General features: G+C 38.4%; 1 protein-coding gene across 113 annotated transcripts in view; it reads right to left on the minus strand.

Annotated features, from left to right (window-relative positions):
• UTY (ubiquitously transcribed tetratricopeptide repeat containing, Y-linked) overlaps positions 1–13,197 on the minus strand; it is a 246,776-nt gene that overhangs the window by 70,066 nt on the left and 163,513 nt on the right. For 103 of the 113 annotated variants that reach the window (NR_174404.1, NR_047613.1, NR_047627.1 and 100 more), the window contains 3 exons: positions 2,226–2,290; positions 2,078–2,152; positions 1,439–1,587 (listed from right to left, as the gene is read on the minus strand). Coding sequence is in view for 57 of the 113 variants with exons in the window: in XM_011531448.4 (XP_011529750.1) it covers positions 1,439–1,587; positions 2,078–2,152; positions 2,226–2,290 (289 nt within the window). In the remaining 56 variants the exon portion in view is untranslated. Of the gene's footprint in view, positions 1–221; positions 251–1,438; positions 1,588–1,692; positions 1,761–2,077; positions 2,153–2,225; positions 2,291–13,197 lie in introns of those variants that run through there. The other 10 variants (NR_047608.1, NR_047610.1, NR_047641.1 and 7 more) reach the window with 6 other exon arrangements.

Raw genomic sequence — 13,197 nt, forward strand, 5'->3', positions numbered from 1 at the left:
TGAATATCCTCACTTGTCTAAAAAAAGCAGGTCAATGATTTAGATATGATGAAGCTGTATTGCTATTTTTAGAGCTCTGAGTTGAGGTGGAAATTTTTCTGAAGAAGTACCACCTTCTGCCACTGTTATTGACCACTTACTGGCCACGGAAATTTTGCTGCAGGCTTCAAAACATTTCTTGATAAGTTCAACCTAAAAATTACAAAGCAAAGAGAACTTACCTGTGAAACTTTTAGGATAATAAATCATTCTGAAGACAAAAGAAATTTTTTGAATTGCAAATAGTATCAAGCTGCTTTTATATGCTACTTCTTAAGCTACTAAAAACAAGTAAGAAGCTACATCTCCAGTACCATACACATTTGCAAATATGTACTTCTTTAGGTTCAAAATATAATTACAGCAGCATTTTCCAAATCTCAACAAAAGTGCAGGAAAATGTGCTTATTTCAAAAGCCATTTGTACTACTGTGAGGTTTTCCAACTAAAGGTGCAACTGACCTTCAATTGGAAAAAATTAATCTGCAATGTAATGAAACCCAAAAAGAAAATAACTCAAAAGGAAAAAAAATCTAACTCTATAAGTGCCTTTAAGACAATTAATATACTCAAGAAAATATGCTCAAAGTTTGACATCAGTACATGGCAGTATTGATCCACTTGAAAAGACATTTTTGAAGATCTCACTACCACAGAACAACTTTAACAGATGTACATTTGTAGTTAATCTTGATGACACAAGAACACAGTATTTGAGCCCCAATGAAGTGGAGTATTATTTCCTCCAAAATAATTCCATTCTTTTAACTAGTAAACAAAAAAAATGCATCCGTTATTTATTATGATTTTCATCAATAAAAATCCATAAAAAATAGTTTTTTTTTAATAGAATACCTACAAAATATCGCCAATTGAACCTCTCGGCTTGCATAGTTTAAAATATTTAGTATCTAGCCCTTTAAAGAAATGTTTGTAAATAAATGACGCATGAAAAAAAAAAAAGAAATGTTTGCTTAAAATTAGACAGTTTTTGGATTACATTTTCTAAAAAAAAAAAGCGCATCACGTTTTCAGTATTGTCAATGAAATTTTTATTATACATAACTTCAGTAAACTGGTTCATAATACATTGTTCTCACTGTAATTGTGGTGAAAACCTCTGAAAAACATTGTTAACCTGTTGTCATTCCTACAACTCAGAAACTTAGAGTCCCTTTCCCAGTTTACATTTTTCCGATTGTTTTTTCATATAAAAATGATGGAAAAACAATACCCTGAGCTCAATTTTAAGAGTAATATGAACATTTTCACCTATAATAAAGAATTTTAAAATCTTTTTGGCTTTAGAAGTATAAATGACAATGTGCTCTCTATGCCTGCTCCGCATGATAAACTCAATTTTTTCAATCATGTAAGATATGTTAGTCATTAAAATCACCTGGTGTCCGACTCCCTGGAACTTTCATATACAGTTGTACTGTATTCATGCCCAGAATGGTATGCCCAACATGGGTTAGAAGATTTCCTGCTGACACCACACGCGCAAAAGCAGGAAGTTTAGTCAGTTCATGTAACTGCAACTTCCACCTGCAATAAATTAACAGATTAAGAGTAAAAACTCGTAAGAATCACCACATCCTCAAAAACCCTGTGATTCAATCAGAAAAATACTTAAATCAATAAATATTTTACCTGTATAGTCAGTAGAACTAAAGCGTTTAACTTATTCCAAAAATAAGTCTTAAGACAAACACAGATTACTGAAAAAAAAAATCATAAATTGTATAACCTACTAAATAAAAGAAACAATTTACTTTCTATTTATAAAGTTGTATTAATAGAGAGGGTACTTTGGTTTTCTTAAGAAGAATAACATTCTAATTGTAAAACTTTGTCAAAATGATTTCAGAATTTTAGGGTTATTAGGTAAAACTAACATGTCAACATAAAAAAACAAGAAACAAAGAGAGAGAGATAATTAGGAATAGAAAAAAAACAGTTCTCTAGACAATTCCCAATTCTGCAATACCCTCATTGATTCAGTTCATGGAAATAGCACTAGGGCAGGGAGACTTACTTTTTGTTATCAGAGAGGTCAATGTTGGTCCCAAATTTTATGGTTTTAAAAGGTCCTTTCCTTCTCCTTCCAGAACTTAAAAAAAGAGAGAATATGAAATCCATGTATTTTAGACAGAAATGTTGAGTGGGTGCTAAAAGTTACTTACTTCTCTGAAGATGTGGATTCGTTATCTGAATGATCTTTGTGTTGTGTTCTTTTCTCATTTTCTTCCTTCAGGTTAAGAAAAAAATATTCATACTTAGTATCCTCTAACAGGCTATCACTTCTATTATACAAATTATACTCATCTACATGAGCAGTATTGACTATTTTTGAGAAATAAGTTTTTACAGGCACATTTCACAGAAAATATCTTCTATAATCACATTAAATTAAGTCACAGGAAAAGTCAAAGTCCAGTTCACGGTACTCAACATCCTCCATCATCTACAAAATTAATATGAAATTCAGGTATTATACTAATTTATAAGAAAAGCATGTATTCATTCATATTTTACTTTGGACCAAGGAATTTTCTAAATGGTAAATTAATTTCATTTAAAATGATATCAAGAGAATATGAGAGAGAACTAAAAATGAAAACAAGGACAACATACAAAAGCTTACTAATTATATATTAAAACAAAAAAAGATGTAAGAAAGCACTTAAGAAGACAGAATTCTTCCTTCTTTTTTTTTGAGCCGGAGCCTCACTCTGTTGCCTAGGCTGGAGTGCAGTGGCGTAATCTCAGCTCACTGCAACCTCTGCCTCCTGGGTTCGAGGAAGTTTCCTGCCTCAGTCTCCCTCCGATGCCTCAGCCTCCCTCCAATTCTCTTTTGTAATAAAGAAAAAGCGTTGTTTTGTTTTTCCCTGTAGACACTGTTTTATGAGAAAGAATCTGTAGATTCTTATACTTGGGCCAAAGACAAGATAATGAAGAAAAACCTGAAGCCAAAAGTACTGAGGGGTATAACTACTAATGTTAATTATAAGTGCCAAGTAGCAAAGCCATGGCACATATTCTAAACTGGCAGAAATACATTTGCATCCATATGAAAATATGTACAGAGTGAGCAATGTTAAGATCCTCTATCTCTGATTATAGTATCATATTTAGTTACCCTGGCTTTCTCTGTGGGTGAATCACATTAACAAAACTAAGGGCATATGGACGAAGTTCTTCACAGGCTAAATTTTCAATGCAAAGAGTTCTATATAAATAATAAAACATTTTCACATTTTTATTTAACATTTGTAATAAAAAATTAAATGCTGAACTTAAAATGTTTGTTATTCTCTCCAGAAATATTTCAAGAATATGCAATGAGAAAATGTTTCTGGGAGGACTGGAAATCCACATGTAAAAGAATGAAGTTGGACCTCTATCTCATAATGTACAGAAAAATTAACTCAAAATGAATGTGACCTAAATATAAGATATCACACAAAACTCATGCAAAAAAAAAAAATTAGTACATCTGTATAACTATGGGTTAGGCAATAGTTTCTTAGCAATGACAAAAACAAATGAAGTCCAAGAAATGCAAATAATTAAACTCTATCAAAATTAAAATTTTTGTACTTCAAAGGACACTAACAGAAAAAGTGAAAGGACTACTCACAGAAAAGAAAAAAGTATTGACACATTTAATACTTGAGAAGGAATTTTTAGCAAGAATAAGCATGCATATAATTTACGGTTCAATAATAAAAAGAAAAATAGCCAAATTAAAAAATGGGCAAAGGAAATAAACATGCATTTCACCAAAGAAAATATACCCATTAACAATATGTTAATGAAAAGATGCTTAACAAATAACCATTTGGGAAAAGACAAAATGAAATATTACTTCAAAACTAATAGTATGGTTAGAATCAAAAGGAGATGGTATATAAGCATCAGAGAAGATGGAGAAATGGGAAACTTATAAATTAAGAATAAAAATGTAGGCCAGGCACAGTGGCTCATGCTTGTAATCCCAGCACTTTGGGAGGCTGAGGTAGGTGGATCATATGAGGCCAGGAATTCAAGACAAGCATGGTCAACATGATGAAACCCTGTCTCTGCTAAAAATACAAAAAACAATTAGTCAGGCATGATGGTGTGTGCCTAAAATTCCAGATACTTGGGAGACTAAGGCAGGAGAATTGATTGAACCCAGGAGGCAGAGGCTGCAGTGAGGTGAGTTATCACCATTGCACTCCAACCTGATGACTCAGTGAGACTGTCTCAAAAAAAAAAAAAAAAAAGAAAATGTAAAATGATGTAGCCATTTGAAAATTAATCTGACAGTTCCTTAATAGAATAAACAATGAGGCCGGGTTCGGTGGCTTACACCTGTAATCCCAGCATTTTGGGAGGCCAAGCTGGATGAATTATTAGAGGTCAATAGTTTGAGACCAGCCTGGGCAACATGGTGAAATCTTTTCCCTACTAAGAACACAGGAATTAGCCACGCGTGGTGGTGCACACTTGTAGTCCCAGCTACTCAGGAAGCTGAGGGAGGAGAATTGCTTGAACTCAGGAAGTAGAGGTTACAGTGAGCCAAGATAGTACCACTGCACTCCAGCCTGGGCAACAAAGTGAGACTGTCAATAAAAAACAAACAAAAACCCCCCAGAGTAAACAATGAGTTATTACACCACATAATCTAGCATCTATACAAGGGAAATGAGGGTATATGTTCCCACACAAATACTGTTTATAAGTATTCATAATAGCATTACTCGGAATACCTACGAGGCAGAGCAGAAACAACCTAAATGTTCATAAACTGATGACAGAGTTCCTCCACCAAAAACGGTTTATACCCAGACAATGTAATATTGTCATTAAAAGAGAAGTGGTTTAGTGATACATGCTGCAAATGAATAGACCTTGAAAATCTTATGCTAAAAAATAAAAAAGAAACCAGTCAAAAAGACATGATATCATCCCATACACACACACACACTCAACACAGGCAAATCTACAGATATAAGCAGGCAGGTGGTTGCTTGAATTCTTGGAGTTGGGGGAAATGTGACTGTGGATGGTTATGGGCTTTCATTTGGGAATAAAAAAAATTTGTAAAATTTATTATGATAATGATTGCACACCTATGAGGTACGCTAAAAACCACTGAACTGTATACTTTATATGTGTAAACTGTATATTATGTAAATTATCTTGATGAAGCAGTATAAAAAGAAATAAAGGACAGGTGACATGAGCCCAAATGGTCAATGAAGAAGCCCCAAGCCCTCACACTTCCCTATGTAAAAAAATTTAAAACTACCTAATGTAGGGGCTGGGTGTGGTGGCTCACGCCTGTAATCCCAGCACCTTGGGAGGCCGAGGCGGACAGATCACGAGGTCAGGAGATCAACACCATCCTGGCTAACACGGTGAAACCCCGTCTCTACTAAAAATACAAAAAAGTTAGCCGGGTGTGGTGGCATGTGCCTGTGGTCCCAGTTATTTGGGAGGCTGAGGCAGGAGAATGGCGTGAACCCGGGAGGCGGAGCTTGTAGTGAGCTGAGATCACGCCACTGCACTGCAGCCTGGGTGACAAAGCGAGACTCTGTCTCAAAAAAAAAACCAAAAAAACAAAACAAAACTACCTAACATAACCTGATGGAATCTATGGAAAACAATCACAGATCTACAGCATCCAGGTAAACAACTTAGAAAAAGTCACACTCAAATCAGTGGGAAATACTATAGTGTTTTTTACTTGTGCTTGCCTCACTCCATCAAAGGCCTGGTACAGTGTTGCTACAAAAGAGGTGTCAATTTCGTTCCTAATTTGTTCCCTCAAAAGAGAGAACCTTATCTGTAACATTCTAATTCATCTAAGGACTGTCTAAAATACTGGTCTCTGTTTTGCCTAATACTAATGCTTCTCAAAAACTTTTTAAAAATTCAATTTACTGACTGGGCGCAGTGGCTCACACCTATAATCCCAGCACTTTGGGAGGCCGAGACGGGCAGATCACGAGGTCAGGAGATCGAGACCATCCTGGCTAACACAGTGAAACCCCATCTCTACTAAAAACACAAAAAATTAGCCAGGAGTGGTGGTGGGCACCTATAGTCCCAGCTACTCGGGAGGCTGAGGCAGAAGAATCGCTAGAACCTGGGAGGCGGAGCTTGCAGTGAGCCGAGATCATGCCGCTGCACTCCAGCTTGGGTGACAGAGTGAGACTCCATCTCACCAAAAAAAAAAAAAAAAAAAATTCCATTTATCATGCTCAGAGCCTAGATTTATCATGAGACCCTGGACAAAGACACTGTAAGAACACAACAATGTATCTTATAAATAGTAACGCAAAAATAATAACGAAATATTAGTAAGATGAATTCAGAAACACGTTATAGAAAGTTTGTATGTAATGAACTAGTGGGTTTTCCTCCTGAAATTCTTGAATGATTAACAACATATTAAAATCAGTCAATTTAACACACATTAATAAAATGAAGAAAAAACTCACATGATCATCTCAACTGATAAGAAATACAATTTCACAAAATTCAATATCCTTATATATGAGAAAAATATTCTACAAACTAGGCACAAATGGTAAGGTCTTCAACATAATAAAGGCCATATATGAAAAACACATAACTTTGAACCTAGGAAGGACTGACAGCTTTTCTTCTAAGATCAAGACCAAGATAAGGACTTACAGTTTGGAAAACTAAATACTGTTAACATGTCAATATTACCAAAAGTGACCCACAGATTCAATGTAACCTCTATCAAAATACCAACAACAATTTTTGCAGGATTAAAAAATTCATCTTGGCTGGGCACAGTGGCTCACGCCTGTAATCTCAGCACTTTGGGAAGCCAAGGTGGGCAGATCATGAGGTCAGGAGATCCAGACCACCCTGGCTAACACGGTGAAATCCCGTCTCTACTAAAAATACAAAAATATTAGGTGGATGTGGTGGCACAGGCGGTAATCCCAGCTACTCGGGAGGCTGAGGCAGGTGAATGGCATGAACCCAGGAGGCAGAGCTTGCAGTGAGCCGAGATCGCACCACTGTGCTCTAGCCTGGGCGACAGAGTGAGACTCCGTCCCCAAAAAAAAAAAAAATTAATCTTAAGGAAGTTCAATAGAAAAATGATCTTGAAAAACACTACTTGACTTAAAACCATACTATAAGGTTACATACAGTAACCAAAACAGTATGGTACTGCTGTTTTGACACATTGTCAGACCAACTGAGCAGAACAGAAAACACAGAAATAAAGCCATAGACCTACAACTGTTAATCTTCAACAACACCGATAAAAATGAGCAATGCGGCCGGGCGCGGTGGCTCACGCCTGTAATCCCAGCACTTTGGGAGACCGAGGCGGGCGGATCACGAGGTCAGGAGATCGAGACCATCCTGGCTAACACGGTGAAACCCCGTCTCTACTGAAAATACAAAAAATTAGCCGGGCGTGGTAGCGGGCGCCTGTAGTCCCAGCTACTCGGGAGGCTGAGGCAGGAGAATGGCGTGAACCCGGGAGGCGGAGCTTGCAGTGAGCCGAGATCGCGCCACTGCACTCCAGCCTGGGCGACAGAGCAAGACTCTGTCTCAAAAAAAAAAAAAAAAGAGCAATGCAGAAAGGACTCCCTATTCAACTAACAGTGCTGGGTGGAATAACTTGCTAGCCACACACAGAGAATGAAACTGGATCCTTACCTTTCACCACATATAAAAATTAACTCAAGATGGACTAAATATTTAAATGTACGATGTCAAACTATAAAAAAAGAAAACCTAGAAAATACCCTTCTCAACGCTGGTTTTGCAAAACAATTTTTAACTATGTCCCTAAATGCAACTGCAACAAAAATGAAAATTGATAAGTGGGACCCAATTCAGGTATGGAGCTTCAGCACAGCAAAATAAACAAACAAAAACTATCAACAGAGTAAACAGACAAGCTACAAAATGGGATAAATTATTGGTGAACTATGCATCTGACCAAGGTCTAATATCCAGAATCTACAAAGAACTTAACAAATCAACAAGCAAAAAACAAATGACCGCACTAAAAAATGGACAAAGGTTATGAAAAGGGTATGTCTACTAAAAAGAGGACATTACAGGGCCGGGCGCGGTGGCTCACGCCTGTAATCCCAGCACTTTGGGAGGCCGAGGCGGGCGGATCACGAGGTCAGGAGATCGAGACCATCCTAGCTAACACAGTGAAACCCCGTCTCTACTAAAAAATACAAAAAATTAGCCGGGCGTGGTGGCGGGCGCCTGTAGTCCCAGCTACGCGGGAGGCTGAGGCAGGAGAATGGCGTGAACCCGGGAGGCGGAGCTTGCAGTGAGCCGAGATCGCGCCACTGCACTCCAGCCTGGGCGACAGAGCGAGACTCCGTCTCAAAAAAAAAAAGAGGACATATAATTTGTTTTCTGCTAGGAGAAAAAAAAAAAAAACATACAAGTGGCAGCCAAAAAATGGGAAAAATGTGGCTGGGCATGGTGGCTCATGTAATTGCAGCACTTTGGGAGGCTGAGGCGGGCGGGTCATCTGGGGTTGGGAGTTTGAGACCACCCTGACCAATGTGGAGAAACCCTGTCTCTACTAAAAATACAAAATTAGCGGGGTGTGGTGGCACATGCCTGTAATACCAGCTACTCGGGAAGCTGAGGCAGAAGAATCGCTTGAACCTGGGAGGGGGTTGCAGTGAGCTGGAGATCGTGCAATTGCACTCCAGTCTGGGCAACAAGAATGAAAGTCCGTCTCAGAAAAAAAAAAGGAAAGTGTTCAATCATCACTAATTATCAAAGAATTGCAAATCAAAATCGCAATGAGATACTATCTCACATTAGTCAGAATGACTACTATTAAAAATAGCCAAAAACAAAAACAAAAACAAAAAAACCCAACACATGCTGGCGAGGATGTGAAGAAAATGGAAGGCTTATACGCTGTTCATGGGTATATAAATTAGTTTAGCCACTGTGGAAAGCAGTTTGGAGAATTCTCAAAGAACCTAAAATAGAGCTACCATTTGACCCAGCAATCTCATTACTGGGTATCTACCCAGTGGAAAACAGAGCATTCTACAAAAATAGACATGCACTCTTTTGTTCATCATCATTGCGCTATTCACAATAGCAAATGTGGCAAGCCAGGTCTCATTAACAGCTGAACAGGCAGGCCTCCATCACAACTGTTTCAGCACTGACTGAGTGGTTAATTTAAATGTTAAAAGCTGAAAGAGTCAGTGCCCTCACATAAAGGCTGGAATGTAACAAAAGTCCATCAAGAGTTTTGCCCAGGCCTTTTCTGGGCCTTGTAGATAACAAGATAACAAATTCTTAACAGAATCTGTTTAGGATTAAATGAGTTTTGATTGGGGATCTGAAGAAACTCCCCAGACCTACACAAACAAGTTTTATTGGTGGTCTAAAGAAACTCCCTAAACCTCCACGATTTAGCAGGAAACAGGATAAAGGTCTTCAGCACCTGGACACATCTAGATTAAGTAAATTTACTGAGGCTCCAGAGGAAGGTCTTCAAAACTGAGACCCCTCGGTTATAAATTAGAAGCTGTTGATCACTTATGAGTTTAGATGAATGCACACTACACATTGACATATAACTTAGAAAGTATAAGCTCTAGAATACTTTGTAATTTTCCTGGCTTTTTCCCTGTACCCGGTTACTTCAGAAATAAATGCTCTTCTTTCCCAGTTTATCTGCATCTCATTACTGGCCCATGAGAATAAGCAGCCCAATCATCGGTTTCGTCTGGGAACACAAAGACATAAAATCAACTTAGGTGCTCATCAGTGTTGGATTGGATAAAGAAAATGTGGTGTATACAGACAATGGAACACTATGGAGTCAAAAAAAGAACAAAATGATGTCCTTTGCAGCAACATGGATGTAGCTGGTGGCCATAATTCTAAGTGAATTTACTCAGAAACAGAAGACCAAGTGTTGCAGTTTCTCCCTTATAAGTGGGAGCTAAACACTGAGTACATATGGACATAAATGTGAGCTAGATGTGAGAGGAAAGGAGGTGGGGCATGAGCTAAAAACTACTTATTGTGGGGTACTATGTTCACCTCCTGGGAGTATTAAACCCAAGTGACAAATCTGCACATAAACCCTCTGTCTTTAAAATAGAAGATGTATTTTACAAATAAAGAAAGGGCCAGGCGCAGGTGGATCACGAAGTCAGGAGATTGAGACCATACTGGCTAACACAGTTAAACCCCGTCTCTACTAAAAATACAAAAAATTAGCTGGAAGTGGTGGCGGGCACCTGTAGTCCCAGCTACTCAGGAGGCTGAGGCAGGAGAATGGCCTGAACCCAGGAGGTGGAGCTTGCAGTGAGCCGAGATTGTGCCACTGCACTCCAGCCGGGGTGACAGAGCAAGACTCTATCTCAAGAAAGAAAATGAACAAAAACGAACACTTCTTAATTTCAAAATTTAATACAATACTATAGCAATCAAAATAGTGTAGTAGTAACATAAAGACAGACATACGGACCAATAAAAGAGAACACAGAATCAAGACAAAAACTCTTGTGTGATTTTTGACGAGACTGCCAAGACCATTGAGCAGGAGAAAGGTCAGTCTTCTGAACAAATGGGATTGGAAAAACGAGATATTTACATGCAAAAAACCAAAGTTGGTTCTTTATCTTGGATCACATACAAAATTAACTTGAAATAGATCAGAGACTCAAACGTAAGAGTTAAAACTATAAAATTGTGAGAACAAGAGAAAATGCTGTGACATGGTATTCGGCCATGATTTCTTAAACTTCAAAAGAATGTGTCAACAAAGTAAGTAAATAAACTGGACTTCACAAAAATTAAAAATTTATCAAATGACACTATTACCAAAACAGCAAAATTACAATAAACAAAATTGGAGAAAATACTTGTAAAACATTGTAAATCATTGCAAATACTTGTAAATTCTCTTGGGCAACGCCAGTGGGAATTAACATGGTGCGGGCACTGAGCAGAACAATATAGTCGTCCTTTAAAAAGTTCAGCAAGTAATTACCACACAATCCAGCGGCTGTAGAGACTAGAACACGTAATTTACATCAATTTTCAGAGCAGCTGTACTCAACACAGTAACTCAAATGTGCATAGATAAACAAAATGTGGTACATACTTAATGGAGTTACTATTCAGTCATAAAAAATAGTAAAATTATACTGCTAAAAACACAGATGAACCTGCCCAAGAAAGCCAGATATGAAAGGACAAATACTTTATGATCCCACTTACATGAGCAACCCAGAATTTGTGAAACGTATTTTGAAAGAATGTGAAAAAGAGATGACAGGGCGCAGTGGCTCACACCTGTAATCCCAGCACTCTGGGGGACCAAGGCAGGGAGATCACCTGAGGTCGAAAGTTTGAGACCAACTTGACCAACGTGGAGAAACCCCGTCTTTACTAAAAATACAAAATTAGCTGGGTGTGGTGGCGCATGCCTGTAATCCCAGCTACTGGGGAGGCTGAGGCAGGAGAATAGCTTGAAGCCAGGAGGCAGAGGTTGCAGTGAGCTGAGATCACACCATTGCACTCCAGCCTGGGCAACAAGAGCAAAACTCCATCTCAAAAACAAATAACAACAAAAAAACAAAACAGAGATTATTAAGGGGTTGGGGAGGAAACTGTAAAAGGAAACTATCTTATTACTAAGCTAAAGGGAAAAGTCCAGCTGGGAACTGCTTAGGACAATTCTGCCTCCCATTCTATTCAAAGCCACCCCACTGCTCACCGAGATAAATGTATATCTGACTGCCTCCTTTGGAGAGGCTAATCAGGAACTCAAAAGAATACAACCATTTTTTCTCTTACCTACCTATGGCCTGAAGACCACCTCCCCAGAAATGAGTTGTCCCTCATTTCCACACCTAACCAATGGTTCATCTTACATATATTGATGTTTCATGTCTCCCTAAAATGTACAAAACCCAACTACCCTCATCACCTTGGGCATATGTCGACAGGACCTCCTGAGGCTGTGTTATGGGTGTGTGTCCTCAATCTTGGCAAAATAAAACCTTCTAAATTAAATTAACTGAGACCTCTCTTGAGATTTTTGGGGTTCATACTGAGGTAACCAAAGAGGGATTTTGAGTGGAGGTGCCTCTGACCTTTCACGAATCTCCTACTGGTGCTTGGTACCAGCTTAAGCTATCTTTATGCACTATACCAACACGACAATTCGCTGAGGCATGGAAGAAGCCCCTCCAGAGAATCCCTGATCTCCCAAAATTTGTTCGAGATCCGAAGTTTATTTTGCTGTACAACTTATTTTATTTTATTTTGAGTTTTACTTGCTTCTAACACAAGGAAGGCATGCCTTTCCTGCTTCCATGATGATGGAAGGCAGGTAACTCCTTTATGGAGTTTGTATTCTCTTCCAACAGGGAAGATGAGTTGTTCTTCGTTTTCTTTTCTTTTTTTTTTAACCCGCTTCTAGGATGGTATAGAGCAATTATCAGCCTGAGACCCACCCATAGGTAAGTAACTGAACTGTGGTTTGCTTTGGCTAAAGATTAACAACCAGCTGGTCTTAATTTCTCCTTACCATCAGAGCACTCAGTAATCATATAAACTGTGTGATCATTTGTTTTGCTTAACTGTTTTGTTGTTGTTTGTTTCTGTTTTTGTTGTTTTTTCGGTCTTTTTCCCACTGGATTTGATCAACTCTATATGACTTGATCAAATCCAAAGGAAGTTCCAAATTGTGGGGAAAAAAAGCCTCTGAAGTGACTAAATTCCCACGGGACAGACAGAGAGAAAAAAAAAGATGGCGCGGTAGAGGAAGAAAAACGGCTAGCAAAAGGAAAAAGAAAAAGAGGAGAAACTCTTTTGATTTTGGCTACTATAGGGCTTTGTTGATGTAAAAGTCCACCTTTTTGCAAGCCAGGCCAAAAGGACAGAGCAATGGCTGTATTTCTGAAATAGCAGCAGTTTGCCCTATTTGAAATATCGTAATGAGATTTTAAAAGATTTTTTTTTAGATGGAAGTTTGCTCCATCACCCAGGCTGGATTGCAGTGGCACAGTCTCGGCTCACTGCAACCTGCGCCTCCTGGTATCAAGTGATTCTCCTGCCTCAGCCTCCTGAGTAGCTGACATTACAGGCACATGATAC

This window comes from Homo sapiens, chromosome Y (assembly GCF_000001405.40).
Source record: "Homo sapiens chromosome Y, GRCh38.p14 Primary Assembly".
Lineage (NCBI taxonomy): Eukaryota > Metazoa > Chordata > Mammalia > Primates > Hominidae > Homo > Homo sapiens.